This window comes from Homo sapiens, chromosome 7, assembly GCF_000001405.40.
Source record: "Homo sapiens chromosome 7, GRCh38.p14 Primary Assembly".
Classification (NCBI taxonomy): Eukaryota; Metazoa; Chordata; class Mammalia; order Primates; family Hominidae; genus Homo; species Homo sapiens.
Window position 1 is genome coordinate 103,496,924 of NC_000007.14, and position 14,558 is coordinate 103,511,481.

The 14,558-nt window shown below is 38.0% G+C and overlaps 1 protein-coding gene and 1 long non-coding RNA gene across 3 annotated transcripts in view; one reads left to right on the top strand and one right to left on the bottom strand.

The window, feature by feature from the left end:
• Positions 1-14,558, top strand: part of SLC26A5-AS1 (SLC26A5 antisense RNA 1) — a 68,801-nt gene that overhangs the window by 51,717 nt on the left and 2,526 nt on the right. The window contains exon 3 of the long non-coding RNA NR_110141.1: positions 7,481-7,601. This is a non-coding gene — a long non-coding RNA (SLC26A5 antisense RNA 1). The remainder of the gene's footprint in view (positions 1-7,480; positions 7,602-14,558) is intronic.
• RELN (reelin) overlaps positions 1-14,558 on the bottom strand; it is a 517,870-nt gene that overhangs the window by 25,135 nt on the left and 478,177 nt on the right. For both annotated transcript variants that reach the window (NM_173054.3, NM_005045.4), the window contains exons 51-55: positions 13,928-14,082; positions 6,093-6,307; positions 3,822-3,999; positions 1,154-1,329; positions 897-1,003 (exon numbers count right to left, since the gene is read on the bottom strand). In NM_173054.3, the coding sequence (NP_774959.1) occupies positions 897-1,003; positions 1,154-1,329; positions 3,822-3,999; positions 6,093-6,307; positions 13,928-14,082 (831 nt within the window). The remainder of the gene's footprint in view (positions 1-896; positions 1,004-1,153; positions 1,330-3,821; positions 4,000-6,092; positions 6,308-13,927; positions 14,083-14,558) is intronic.

The following is a 14,558-nucleotide window of genomic DNA, read 5'->3' on the forward strand; positions in this document are numbered from 1 at the left end:
CTTATACTGTTTCTGTATGAGGCTAATGATATGAGGGGAAGGATATTTCGAAAGAGTTGGCCAAAATAAAAACACTGAAGTAAAAATAAGTTATGTTTTGCTTTTAAAATTTAGTTCTAAATTCTTATTTCTCACAAATAATGAGATACACCCATGTTTTACATGTTTCTAGGCAATAGCTTTCAGTATTAAAATAGTTATTGTAATTTTATGCAATTTAATTATTTGGACTGGTATAAAGTTTATCTCTTCTTGCTTGATAAGATTGCAGGTGGGATGTTTAATTACTTAAGAAAACATCCTTCAAATACCTTAAAATACTTTAGGGTCATCTGTTAATCAGCTAGTTATTAAGAATGATATCTATCTGCTAAAGCAGATTTTTCTAAAGACACCATGGTATTACTGGTCTGGTTTTAGCTACTTCAGAATAACAAAACAGAATTCTATTAAAATATTCTATGACAAACTCACAAAATCAGACTTTTTTTTCACAATTTTAGAAGATTTCCATAGATTATAGCATTTATTACATGCTTATTTACACATAAGCTGTTAAAAATGCTTTAAAGTTTTAAAAATGATCTTTTACTTGGAAATCATACAAAATGTATTTCTTAATTGTATCACTCAAGCTTCAGTAAAGCGTAGAGGTTGTTTTCTTTATTCATAAAGTTTGGACTTTATTTTTAATGTGATTTCTCTCCTTCCCTTTTTGCATAACACAGAAGTCACTTGTACGGAACATGTAATACAAACAAAATCTGTAGCTTTTTCTTTGTGAGTTTCACAATTCAAACTGTGAAGTCAGCAAAGCTTTGCAGAGACTTTTCTGAGGGTGTTGGATGGAATTTGGGAATCTGCTCCAAGGGGTGGTTTTCACCCCTGACACATGCCTCCATCGGTAGAGTAGTCCAACAGCACGCCTTCCTTCCGGCAGATGGGACGATGGCAAGAGGTCATGTTGTTCTCACTACCGATGCGCCCCCAGTATTGCAGGAACCTGAATGCAAGCACATTTTATCCATCAGAATAATTCATTAGAACAAATACTCTACTCAAGTCCTGGATAATTTCTTCCATACAAGTGTTCCTTGCTTTGGGACCAATTTGCTATGGTGCAATAGAAATAACTAACAAAAAATTCACTTACTTTGCACCTCGAAGATCCAAATCTTGTGTAACCGCTTGTCTCACAGTGGATCCCCCAAAATAGAGTGCAGTGTCCTCGGCAAGAATTCCACACTCAGTGCAAGTACTTCCACCTTCTAAGGACATCCATAAGTCAGGTTTGATTTCTTCACTGTCAAAGCGTTCCTTCAGGAAAGTCTGGAAATAAAATAAGCCAGATGTGGTTAAAAAAACAATTTCAGATAACTATGGAATATTTAAGAAAATACAGAGTGATGTCTTGGACTTAAAAAAAATAGAGCTGATTTCAAATGCTTTTCAAAGATGTTTAAAAAAGGCTATTTCCACAATCTTTTTTCCTGTCGTATATTGAAAATCATTTAAACTGCTCAAATAATGTTTAATAATTGAAATTTAAAATAATTGTAAAGTTGACTATATCAATTTTTTTTTTTGAGACGAAGTCTTGCTCTGTCACTTGGGCTGGAGTACAGTGGCACAATCTCAACTAACTGCAGCCTCTGCCTCCCGGGTTCAAGCAATTCTCATGCCTCTGCCTCCTGAGTAGCTGGGATTACAGGTGTGTGCCACCACACCTGGCTATTTTTTGTATTTTTCATAGAGATGGGGTTTCACCATGTTGGCTAGGCTGGTCTCGAATCCCTGACCTCAAGTGATCTGCCCACCTCCGCCTCCCAGAGTGCTGGAATTACAGGTGTGAGCCACCATGCCTGGCCATATTATAGTAACACTTCTATTTGTAAAAAGTTAGTTAGTTATTTAAGCATATACCCCCAAACATGTATATTTGTTTATATAGTATATAAAAGTATTATTGTAATGTATTATATTATGAAACATGCCAAAAGGAATTTGAAAGCAATAAGATAAAATATAAACATGCAATCCAGCACTTTCCCCCTGACATTCCCCAATGGATTGTCCTGGTGTGTGTGCCCTCACTTTGGAGACTGCTTCAGGCAGCCAGGATCCTTCAGCCTCTAGCACAGAATGAACCTTGAAGGTCTACATGGTTAGGCAGGGACACTTGAAACCAAATCTCTCTATATAAGTCAAAAGAAAGTAAACCTTTGAAGGCAGTTTGAAAGATGTTTCACCTGTTTATCAGGCCAAGTTGCAGGGTGATAAGTACTCAAAATCTAGAATACAATATTTTCCCCTGAGTCTCCAGTTTATCCTTTTAACTAAGAATGATTGACAACCAGAAAATCTATTTTTCAGAGAGTGTACAAAGTATAAAGGTTCTTGGCTACATTTTTTTGTAAAATTTGCTTATCTCCTCATAGTCAAGGTCTTAATTTCCCTATTCATTCTGTCTACAGTACTTTCATTTTATCCATAATGCAGATTTGTATTAGGTAGAGACACATTTCTTGTTTAAAATGATGAAAAGATATCATAAAGCCAATTTGTTCTAGTTGCAATGCAATAACTGTATACAGAAAAACCTATATTTTTTCATTTAAGGAGAGTTCTATCTTACTGTGTAGTTAAAATGATTTAAACAGTTTCTTTTTCTCAAACTTAGAAGATAATCAATTCTATAGTTAAAGACATACAGTCAAATGTCAGTCTGCCTTAGTCTCACTAATGGATAGCAAATGAATACGTTTTATAATTGAAAGCTTGTAAGAAGACAAGTGTTAGAAGAAATGCATGGTTAACCACGTAAACTTTCATTAGAAGATTTTAATCAGGGTTTATAATTTATAGATTTGTACAATTTCTTATCCAACTGAGGAATACTAATAAAATTTGAGTGCTCATGAAAGAAATTAGATTTTCAAAAGTTTATTAATTACCTGTGGTATATAAAGCTTTGTTTTTCATGTGGTAACCTCATTTGTTAATAATGTACTTACATCTTCAGACACAAATGAGCATTGTTCCAATTTTATTTAAAAAATGTTCAATTCCATAGTTGAAGTATTAGAACAAACACAAATGACAGAACAGGTTTGATTTACATTGTTGACTCTCATATGTTGGATTTCAATCACTAGGAATTTTGCTTTTTTTAGCCTAGTCATTTTTCTGTTATTGTAATGACAAATGCACTATGTTTATTCACAGAAATAGAGTGCATATGTGGCAACTGTGTTGGGTAACTGTATTTGCTTTGCATATTAAATAATGATGTAACAGCTAAAGCTTTCAAAAGTGACCTCTCCATTCTTAATACACAACCCCATTTCAGCAGTCAACGAATCAGAACACAGAATTTTCTAAACAAAAATTCAGGTACTGTTTAGGCCTTTTTGAAAATTTGGTCTTTTGTGATAATGTATATTATTTGCTTTATTTCATAACAATAATAACAATAATATCTTCCTTCAAATAGTGCATCAATTGAAAAAGTGAAGTAAAAAAGGCTTAATATTGACTTTAAAAATAGTCTGCTTAAGAAAAAAAAAAGAAACCCAGAGTATTTATCATTTGTAATCCATATAGTCTGGCTCATTTTATGAACTGGATAAACTGTACTAGAACTTGATCCTAATATTCTTGTACTTAGGAAACATAAGACATTTTTAAAGTTTCTATTCAAAGGATTTTCTTTCCTGGGGGACCCAAAGGACATTGTTATAGATTATGTCTCATACATAAGTTGGTTCCTAGGCATGACCCATGATGTGAGTAATGCGTCTTGTCCAGGGCTTTACCCTTACCTTCAGAGTGTGGGTCAAGTAGCAGTTTGGCCCTGAGTATCCCGGATCACAGATGCACTGTTCCCTTAAGCAATCTCCATGGCCCCTGCAGTTGTCCAAGCATCCAGGGCCCAGGTAGAAATTATCGATTGCCCACTGCATGTCTGAGTACTTCTGATAGAACCTAAACCTTACCGGACTATTGACAATGCAAAAGCAAAGGAGTGAAAAACAAAAGTTAACTGTATTTAGGTCCATTGTCCTGCATGTGTATTCAGTACTCAAGAGAAAAAACATTTAAGATACTCTTACTAGATGAAATAGGTTAATAAAAAATGTTTTCTGACCACTCTTATCTTTCTAGTAATGGAACTTTCAAGCTGGTTTTATTGAAATTTCAGAATATCTGAGCACACTTGCACAACAAAATTAAATCAGTGGAATCTCTGTGTCAAGAAATAAATAGAAATATTTAAATACACAAATCTGTAACTTTCATAAATCAGGTTTCTTCTGAATTGGAGTTCCGTGGTCATGATGCAATTTAGATTCACTAATTGCATTTCTGAAATTGTACAGAAGGTGAGTGACGCCTTTGACAAGAGCCTTGTCAGCATACACACAGCCCTCAGGCGGTCGGGAGGCAGCATTTTCTGAATTCCCTGAAGACAATCAATATTCTCAGAGTAACTATGCTAATTAGAAAACAATTTTGAAAGGGTTATATTAAAGGACATTTTCTTTGAGATTTTAATTTCATCTTTGTTCTTCTCTGTCTTCTGGGGGAAAAAACAAGCCTCATAATTATCCTTATATTAAAATATGCCATACTATTTTGGTTTAAAGAATCCAAAGTACATGAAGGAACTTTCTGGGGTGATATAAATGTTCTGTATCTTGTTTTATGTGGTGGTTACATGGGTTACACAACTAAAAACTCATTGATCTGAACAATTAAGATGTATGTATTTTACTGAATGTAAATTATACCTCATTATTACAAAAAGAGAATGGGAGGAGAAAATGAGTCTGTGATAGACATCATGGTGGGTCCCCAGCATCCATTTCACCCCAGATAATCCATGAAATAATCATTTCCTAACTCAACTATTGAGTGGCTAATTGGTACCAGTGGGATGCAAGGTGGCGCTTGTTCTGGCTGTCTTGGAACAAAAGCAACTATCTTTCTTTCTCACTGGACGTAAGTACGGAAGCATCCTGCCCCAGTTCTCTGGCTGCCATCTCATGTTCAATAGCAAAACCAGCCTGAGAGAGCTGAGTATGCCGCCAGTGCCGTGGACAGCAGATATTCTCTTAAGAGGATAAGGAGGAACGCTGTCCCTGAAGACACCGTTCAACTTACAAATCAACCAGCCCTAGAGTTCACTTATCTTTGGATTCGTTCATTATAGATATAACAAATTTCGAGCTGGTTTGAATTGGGTTTTCTGTTCCTTGCAGCTGAAAGCATCCTGATTTAATTCCTTAGTATGTTAATTGAATAAGCTCTTTAGATACATTCCAGAAAACCCTGAGTGGTAATAATAATAATAATAATATCTATGGGACACTGGGAACTGTGCGTAAGCACTTTATTCAAAGACTCTTTATGTTTCACAAGATTTGTTTAGTCAGACTATCTGATTAATACAGTCTAGGTGCACCTGTTATTTTCTTTTGTGTATCTTTACTTTTAAAGTAGAAGAGAAATCTTTTGGAATTGCCTTAAATTAATATATCCACAGACTTTGCAGAGCAAGGTTTAATCACCTCTGCTCATCACTGGTCCAGGCTAATTACCTCTCACTGCAGGATCAGAATACAATGCTTTGATAAGAGAAAAATGGATCCCATAAGTCACAGTGGTAGAAATAGCATGATGAGTTAGGATTTGCTCCTGGCTCTGTCTATCATGGATTGATAAGGCAATAATGTGGAAAGTATATAGTGCACAGAGGTCCACAGTCTACAAGGTTGAGAAGGTAGGGTACACCTTTTCATCTGGCTCCAAGGCCATCACTATTGCTCTGTTCCCATTTTAAGATACTGAGGTTTAGAAAATAAGAGTCTGCAAAAGCCCATATTGCCAAGTCTGAGGATTACAAATTGAGGTCTGAAGTTAGCTCATCATGGAAGTTATGATGAAAGTAACCAATTAGAGAACCTTTAGAGTTAGGGAGAAAGAAAGCACTTTACCCACAAATACACATAATTTCAGGCATGACAACAGTGTACCTAATGGTGTACCTTCTGGATGCTTGGAACCAGGCTTTGTTTTAGTTTTCTACTTACTTTCCCACTAAGCTTTCAGGAAGTGGGTAGGTGATCCTTTTCCACCCTTTAGTTGGAAAGAATACAGATGGCTGAGAAACACTTCCAGAGCATTTTGGGTCAGCAGGCAAGCACTGAGGGACCAGATAATTCCAACTCACACCGAAGTCAGTAGAATACTGCACATGAATTTGATTCTGGGCAATTTTTTCAGACACCTTACATCCAACTGAGATCTAATAAACAGAAAAACAAGATCAAGGTATTAAAACTATATGATATGATTCTTCTCCAAGGACTTGGCAGCAAAAAAGCTGCTGATCACTTGATATACACTGTACCACATCCATCCTGTATTTTCAGATTCATTATTTGTTCTGCTAATGGACAGAGAAAGTCACCATGATTGCCCCAGGTGACAAATTATAGAAAGTGCCAAATATATTGTGTAGGGGGTTTGGAGAGAAACTCAGACCCCGTGCTTCTGCCATGCTGGCTGAATGCCTTGGAAGGCCTGGGCTCACTCCTACAAACTGTTAGTTGTGCTAATGGTCTGGCATTTCTATTTGGCAGAATACTTAACCAAGAAGAATAGCTAACAGCTTTACCAATTTTACTATTTTGTTGTACAATTTATGACTCTCAATACAACACTTTCAACGACAAGTAAGATGAAATAATAACTGAAGGTAGTTTAAACAAGGCACAGCACCCTTCGTTGATGGTGATAGCCATGATGTGACACTGCTGTTAATACAGTGGGATTTAGGTAGACAGAATAAATTGGTTCACATAAAATCTTGGCCTAAATATTAGCCAAAATTGATGTTGACATTAATGCTAATCATGCCTTTGTTTTCTATAAATTTTTTTCTCCAGAAACATCCAAATGTTCTTGTAAAAAAAAAAAAAAAAAAAAAAAAACTAGAGGCTGGGTGCCATGGCTCACGCCTGTAATCCCAGCACTTTGGGAGGCCGAGACGGGTGGATCACGAGGTCAGGAGTTTGAGACCAGCCTGACCAACATGGTGAAACCCTGTCTCTACTAAAAATACAAAAATTAGCTGGGCATGGTGGCGTGCACCTGTAATCCCAGCTACTCAGGAGCCTGAGGCAGGAGAATCGTCTGAACCCGGGAGGCAGAGGTTGCAGTGAACCAAGATTACGCCACTGCACTCTAGCCTGGGCAACAGAGCAAGACTCCGTCTCAGAAAAAAAGGTCTTATTTCACCTAAATTTCTAAGTTATAGTTAGTATTAATAGAGAGATGGGTAAGAGGAAAAAAAGTAGAAATAACCATTATAGCTTTAATTTTCTCTTGTTGAAACAAATTGCTTAAGTCATAATGATTTAACTCGGAGTTATAATCAGTATCCTACATTTTTATTGTTGATATTTTTATCTATCAGTATTTCATCCTGAGCAGGAACACATTTACTCTTATAAAAGTTTCAGCTTGAGAGACAGCTGGCAAGATGGCTGAATAGGAACAGCTCCAGTCTGCAGCTCCCAGCAAGATCAATGCAGAAGGTGGGTGATTTCGGCATTTCCAACTGAGGAACCCGGTTCATCTCATTGGGACTGGTTGGACAGTGGGTGCAGCCCATGGAGGGTGAGCTGAAGCAGAGTGTGGCAGAACCACAAGGGGTCGGGGGATTTCCCTTTCCTAGCCAAGGGAAGCCGTGAGCAACTGTGCTGGGAGGAACAGTGCAATCTGGCCCAGATACTGCGCTTTTCCCACAGTCTTTGCAACTGGCAGACCAGGACATTCCCTTCGGTGCCTGGCTCAGTGAGTCCCACCCCCACGGAGCCCAGCAAGGTAAGATTCACTGGCTTGAAATTCTCGCTGCCAACACAGCAGTCTGAGGTCGAACTGGGATGCTCGAGCTTGGTTTGGGGAGGGGCGTCTGCCATTACTGAGGCTTGAGTAGGCGGTTTTCCCTTCACTGTGTAAACAGAGCCACCCAGAAGTTTGAAATGGGTGGAGCCCGCCTCAGCTCAGCAAGGCCAACTGCCACTCTAGATTCCTCCTCTCTGGGCAGGGCATCTCTGAAAAAAAGGCAGCAGCCCCAGTCAGGGACTTATAGATAAAACTTCCATCTCCCTGGGATAGAGCTCCTGGGGGAAGGGGTGCTGTGGGCACAGCTTCAGCAGACTTAAACGTCCCTGCTTGACAGCTCTGAAGAGAGCAGCGGTTCTCTCAGCACAGCATTTGAGCTCTGATAAGGGACAGGCTGCCTCCTCAAGTGAAACCCTGACCCCTGTGTATCCTGATTGGGAGACACCTCCCAGTAGGGGCCGACAGACACCTCATACAGGAGAGCTCCGGCTGGCATCTGGTGGGTGCCCCTCTGGGATGAAGCTTCCAGAGGAAGGAACAGGCAGCAATCTTTGCTGTTCTGTAGCCTCTGTTGGTGATACCTAGGCAAACAGGGTCTGGAGTGGACCTCCAGCAAACTGCAGGAGACCTGCAGCAGAGGGGCCTGACTGCCAGAAGGAAAACTAACAAACAGAAAGGAATAGTATCAATACCAACAAAAAGGAGGTCCACTCATAGACCCCATCCTAAGGTCACCAACATCAAAGACCAAAGGTAGATAAATCCACGAAGATGGGGAGAAACCAGCGCAAAAAGGCTGAAAATTCCAAAAGCCAGAAAATTCCAAAAGCCAGAATGCCTCTTCTCCTCCAAAGGATCACAACTCCTCGCCAGCAAGGGAACAAAACGAGATGGAGAATGAGTTTGGCAAATTGACAGAAGTAGGCTTCAGAAGGTGGGTAATAACAAACTCCTCCAAGCTAAAGGCGCATGTTCTAACCCAATGCAAGGAAGCTATAAGAACCTTGAAAAAAGGTTAGAGGGACTGCTAACTAGAATAACCAGTTTAGAGAAGAATATAAATGACCTGATGGAGCTGAAAAACACAGCACGAGAACTTCGTGAAGCATACACAAGTATCAATAGCCGAATCGATCAAGTGGAGGAAAGAATATCAGAGAATGAAGATCAAATCAATGAAATAAAGTGGGAAGACAACATTAGAGAAAAAAGAGTGAAAAGAAACAAAGCCTCCAAGAAATATGGGACTACGTGAAAAGACCAAATCTATGTTTCATCAGTGTATCTGAAAGTGATGGGGAGAATGGAACCAAGTTGGAAAACACTCTTCAGGATATTATCCAGGAGAACTTCCCCAACCTAGCAAGGCAGGCCAACATTCAAATTCAGGAAATACAGAGAACGCCACAAAGATACATAATCGTCAGATTCACCAAGGTTGAAATGAAGGAAAAAATGTTAAGGGCAGCAAGAGAGAAAGGTCGGGTTACCCACAAAGGGAAGCCCATCAGACTAACAGCAGATCTCCCTGCAGAAACCCTACAAGCCAGAAGAGAGTGGAAGCCAATATTCAACATTCTTAAAGAAAAGAGTTTTCAATCCAGAATTTCATATCCAGCCAAACTAAGCTTCATAAGCGAAGGATAAATAAAATCCTTTACAGACAAGCAAATGCTGAGAGATTTTTGTCACCACCAGGCCTGCCTTACAGGAGCTCCTGAAGGAAGCACTAAACATGGAAAGGAACAACCAGTACCAGCCACTGCAAAAACATACCAAATTGTAAAGACCATTGATGCTTTGGATAAACTGCATAACTAATGGGCAAAATAACCAGCTAGCATCATAATGACAGGATCAAATTCACACATAACAATATTAACCTTAAATGTAAATGGGCTAAATGCCCCAATTAAAAGACACAGACTAGCAAACTGGATAAAGAGTCAAGACCCATCTCATGTGCAAAGACATACATAGGCTCAAAATAAAGGGATGGAGGAATATTTATCAAGCAAACGGAAAGCACAAAAAAGCAGGGGCTGCAATCCTAGTCTCTGATAAAACAGACTTTAAACCAACAAAGGTCAAAAGAGACAAAGACTGGCATTACATAATGGTAAAGGAATCAACGCAACAAGAAGAGCTAGCTGTTCTAAATATATATGCACCCAATACAGAGGACCCAGATTCATAAAGCAACTTCTTAGAGACCTACAAAGAGACTTAGACTCCCACACAATAATAATGGGAGATTTTTAACACCGCACTGTCAATATTAGATCAACGAGACAGAAAATTAACAAGGATATCTAGGACTTGGAAGTCACCTCTGGACCAAGCGGACCTAATAGACATCTACAGAACTCTCCACCTCAAATCAACAGAATATACATTCTTCTTAGCACCACATTGCACTTATTCCAAAATTGACCATATAATTGGAAGTAAAAAACTCCTCAGCAAATGCAAAAGAGCGGAAATCATAACAAACTGTCTCTCAGACCACAGTGCAATCAAATTAGAACTCAGGATTAAGAAACTCACTCAAATCCACACAACTACATGGAAACTGAACAATCTGCTCCTGAATGACTACTGGGTACATAACGAAATGAAGGCAGAAATAAAGATGTTCTTTGAAACCAATGAGAACAAAGACACAACATACCAGAATCTCTGGGACACATTTAAAGCAGTGTGTAGAGGGAAATTTATAGCACTAAATGCCCACAAGAGAAAGCAGGAAAGATCTAAAACTGACACCCTAACATCAAAATTAAAAGAACTAGAGAAGCAGGAGCAAACACATTCAAAAGCTAGCAGAAGACAACAAATAACTAAGATCAGAGCAGAACTGAAGGAGATAGAGACACAAAATACCCTTCAAAAAAATCAATGAATCCAGAAGCTGGTTTTTTGAAAAGATCAACAAAAGAGATGGACCACTAGTGAGACGAATAAGGAAGAAAAGAGAGAAGGATCAAATAGACACAATAAAAAATGATAAAGGGGATATCACCACTGATCCCACAGAAATACAAACTACCGTCAGAGAATACTATAAACACCTCTATGCAAATAAACTAGAAAATCTAGAAGAAATGGATAAATTCCTCGACACATACACCCTCCCAAGACTAAGCCAGGAAGAAGTCGAATCCCTGAATAGACCAATAACAATTTCTGAAATTGAGGCAGTAATTAATAGCCTACTAAACAAAAAAAGCCCAGGACCAGGTGGATTCACAGCTGTATTCTACCAGAGGTACAAACAGGAGCTGGTACCATTCCTTCTAAAACTATTCCGAACAATAGAAAAAGAGGGAATCCCCCCTAACTCATTTTATGAGGCCAGCATCATCCTGCTACCAAAACCTGGCAGAGACACCACAAAAAAAGAAAATTTCAGGCCAATATCCCTTATGAATATTGATGTGAAAATCCTTGATAAAATACTGGCAAACCAAATCCAACCAAGATCAAGTTGGCTTCATCCCTGGGATACAAGGCTGGTTCAGCATACACAAATCAATAAACATAATCCAACATATAAATGACAAAAATGCCATGATTATCTCAATAGATGCAGAAAAGGCCTTCGCCAATATTCAGTAGCCCTTCATGTTAAAAACTCAATAACTAGGTATTGATGGAACATATCTCAAAATAATAAGAGCTATTTATGACAAATCCACAGCCAATATCATACTGAATGGGCAAAAACTGGAAGCATTCCCTTTGAAAATAGGCACAAGACAAGGATGCCCTCTCTTAGCTCTCTCTCTTATTCAACACAGTATTGGAAATTCTGGCCAGGGCAATCAGGCAAGAGAAAGAAATAAAGGGTATTCAGTTAGGAAAAGAGGAAGTCAAATTGTCTCTGTTTGCAGATGACATGATTGTGTATTTAGAAAACCCCATCGTCTCAGCCCAAAATCTCCTTAAGCTGATAAGCAACTTCAGCAAAGTCTCAGGATACAAAAATCAATGTGCAAAAATCACAAGCATTTCTGTACACCAATAACAGAGAGTCAAATCATGAGTGAACTCCCATTCACAATTGCTACAAAGAGAACAAAATACTTAGGAATAATACAACTTACAAGGGATGTGAAGGACCTCTTCAAGGAGAGCTACAAACCACTGCTCAAGGAAATAAGAGAGGATGCAAACAAACAAATGGAAAAACATTCTATGCCCATGGTTAGGAAGAACCAATATCGTGAAAATGGCCATACTGCCCAAAGTAATTATAGATTCAATGCTATCCCCATCAAGCTACTATTGACTTTCTTCACAGAATTGGAAAAACTACTTTAAATTTCACATGGAACCAGAAAAGAGCCTGTATAGCCAAGACAATCCTAAGCAAAAAGAACAAACCTGGAGGCATCATGCTACCTGACTTCAAAGTATACTATAAGGCAACAGTAACAAAAACAGCATGGTACTGGTACCAAAACAGTTATATAGACCAATCAAACAGAACAGAGGCCTCAGAAATAACACCACACATCTACAACCATCTTGATCTTTGACAAACCTGACAAAAACAAGCAATGGGGAAAGGATTCCCTATTTAATAAATGGTGTTGGGAAAACTGGCTAGCCATATGCAAAAAGCTGAATCTGGATCCCTTCCTTACACCTTATTCAAAAATTAACTCAAGATGGATTAAAGATTTAAATGTTAAGACCTAAAACCATAAAAACCCTAAAAGAAAACTCAGGCAATACCATTCAGGACATAAGCATGGGCAAAGACTTAATGACTAAAACACCAAAAGCAATGGCAACAAAAGCCAAAGTAGACCAATGGGATCTAATTAAACTAAAGAGCTCCTGCACAGCAAAAGAAACTATTAGAGTGAATAGGCAACAGAATGGGAGAAAAATTTGCAATCTATCCATCTGACAAAGGGCTAATATCCAGAATCTACAAAGACCTTAAAGAAATTTACAAGAAAAAAAAAACATCAAAAAGTGGTCGAAGGATATGAACAGACACTTCTCAAAAGAAGACATTTATGTGGCCAACAAACTTGAAAAAATGCTCATCATCACTGGTCATTAGAGAAATGCAAATCAAAACCACATTGAGATACCATCTCACACCAGTTAGAATGGCGATCATTAAAAAGTCAGGAAACAACAGATGCTAGAGGGGCTGTGGAGAAATAGGAACGCTTTTACACTGTTGGTGGGAGTGTAAAGTAGTGCAACCATCGTGGAAGACAGTGTGGCAATTCCTCAAGGATCTAGAACTAGAAATACCATTGCACCCAGCAATCCCATTACTGGGTATATACCCAAAGGATTATAAATCATTCTACTATAAAAATACATGCACACGTATGTTTACTGCGGCACTGTTCACAATAGCAAAGACTTGGAACCAACCAAATGCCCATCAATGATAGACTGGATAAAGAAAATGTGGCACATATACACCATGGAATACTATGCAACCATAAAAAAGATGAGTTCATGTCCTTTGCAGGGACATGGATGAAGCTGGAAACCATCATTCTCAGCAAACTAACACAAGAACAGAAAACCAAACACCACATGTTCTCACTCATAGGTGGGAGTTGAACAATGAGAACACATCGCCACAGGGAGAGGAACATCACGCACTGTGGGGCCTGTCGGGGAGTGGAGGAGGGATAGCATTAGGAGAAATACCTAATGTAGATGACGGTTTGATGGGTGCAGCAAACCACCATGCCACATGTATACCTATGTAACAAACCTGCATGTTCTGCACGTGTATCCCAAAACTTAAAGTATAATAAAAAAAGATGAAAAAAAGTTTCAACTTGAAATAGTTCAGAAATAAAATACTTTTAATCATTAAGCAATGTATAGTTGAGTTGTATATTAGTTTAATAGTAAATTTTACTTTTCAAAGTATATACTAAGTCAATGAAATATTAGATCATCTTTTCTCTGATATTTTTTGTTATATTGCTAATGTATGGTTGTTTATATAATCAAGATCATAACATTTCACCTTGAATTGCATAATCCAGCCTTCAGTGGGAGTCAGGTCATGGGTCACTGCATACACCTCCCGTCCATCATGACTGCCACAGAGCATCACACCATCAGGGGAGTCACAGAATCTTTCTACTGTACAATCATCATGGAATAGCCAGTGCTCATTCACTTAAAACAAAAAAACAAAATTTTATGACAAATTTGTGACAAAAATACTTGAAGCAAATTTTCACTTTAAGCAAGACATAGAATTATTTTAAGTAGAAACTGCTCATATTATATACACTCTATAGACAAAACACTAATATAAATACATTGTTTCAGGAACATAAATACTAGGAGGATTGAGATATATGCCCTTTGTCTGATATTAGTACACACACAACCATAGATATTAGTCTACACATGAAAAAAAGTATATTGTACACATTGTAAATGAAAATCAAAAGGAAATAACTAATTTTTTGACAGATATTTAACTTTTTAGATAGCATATAAAGAAGTAGAGATGATTTTTAATTTTAAAAATTTTATTTACAGTGTCTCGTTTATTAGGAAAGAATCATGAAGAATCACAATTGCACTGGGCTGGTCATTTTATTTTATTTTTTTTAATACCGGATAGGGAATAGAGTTAACTACTA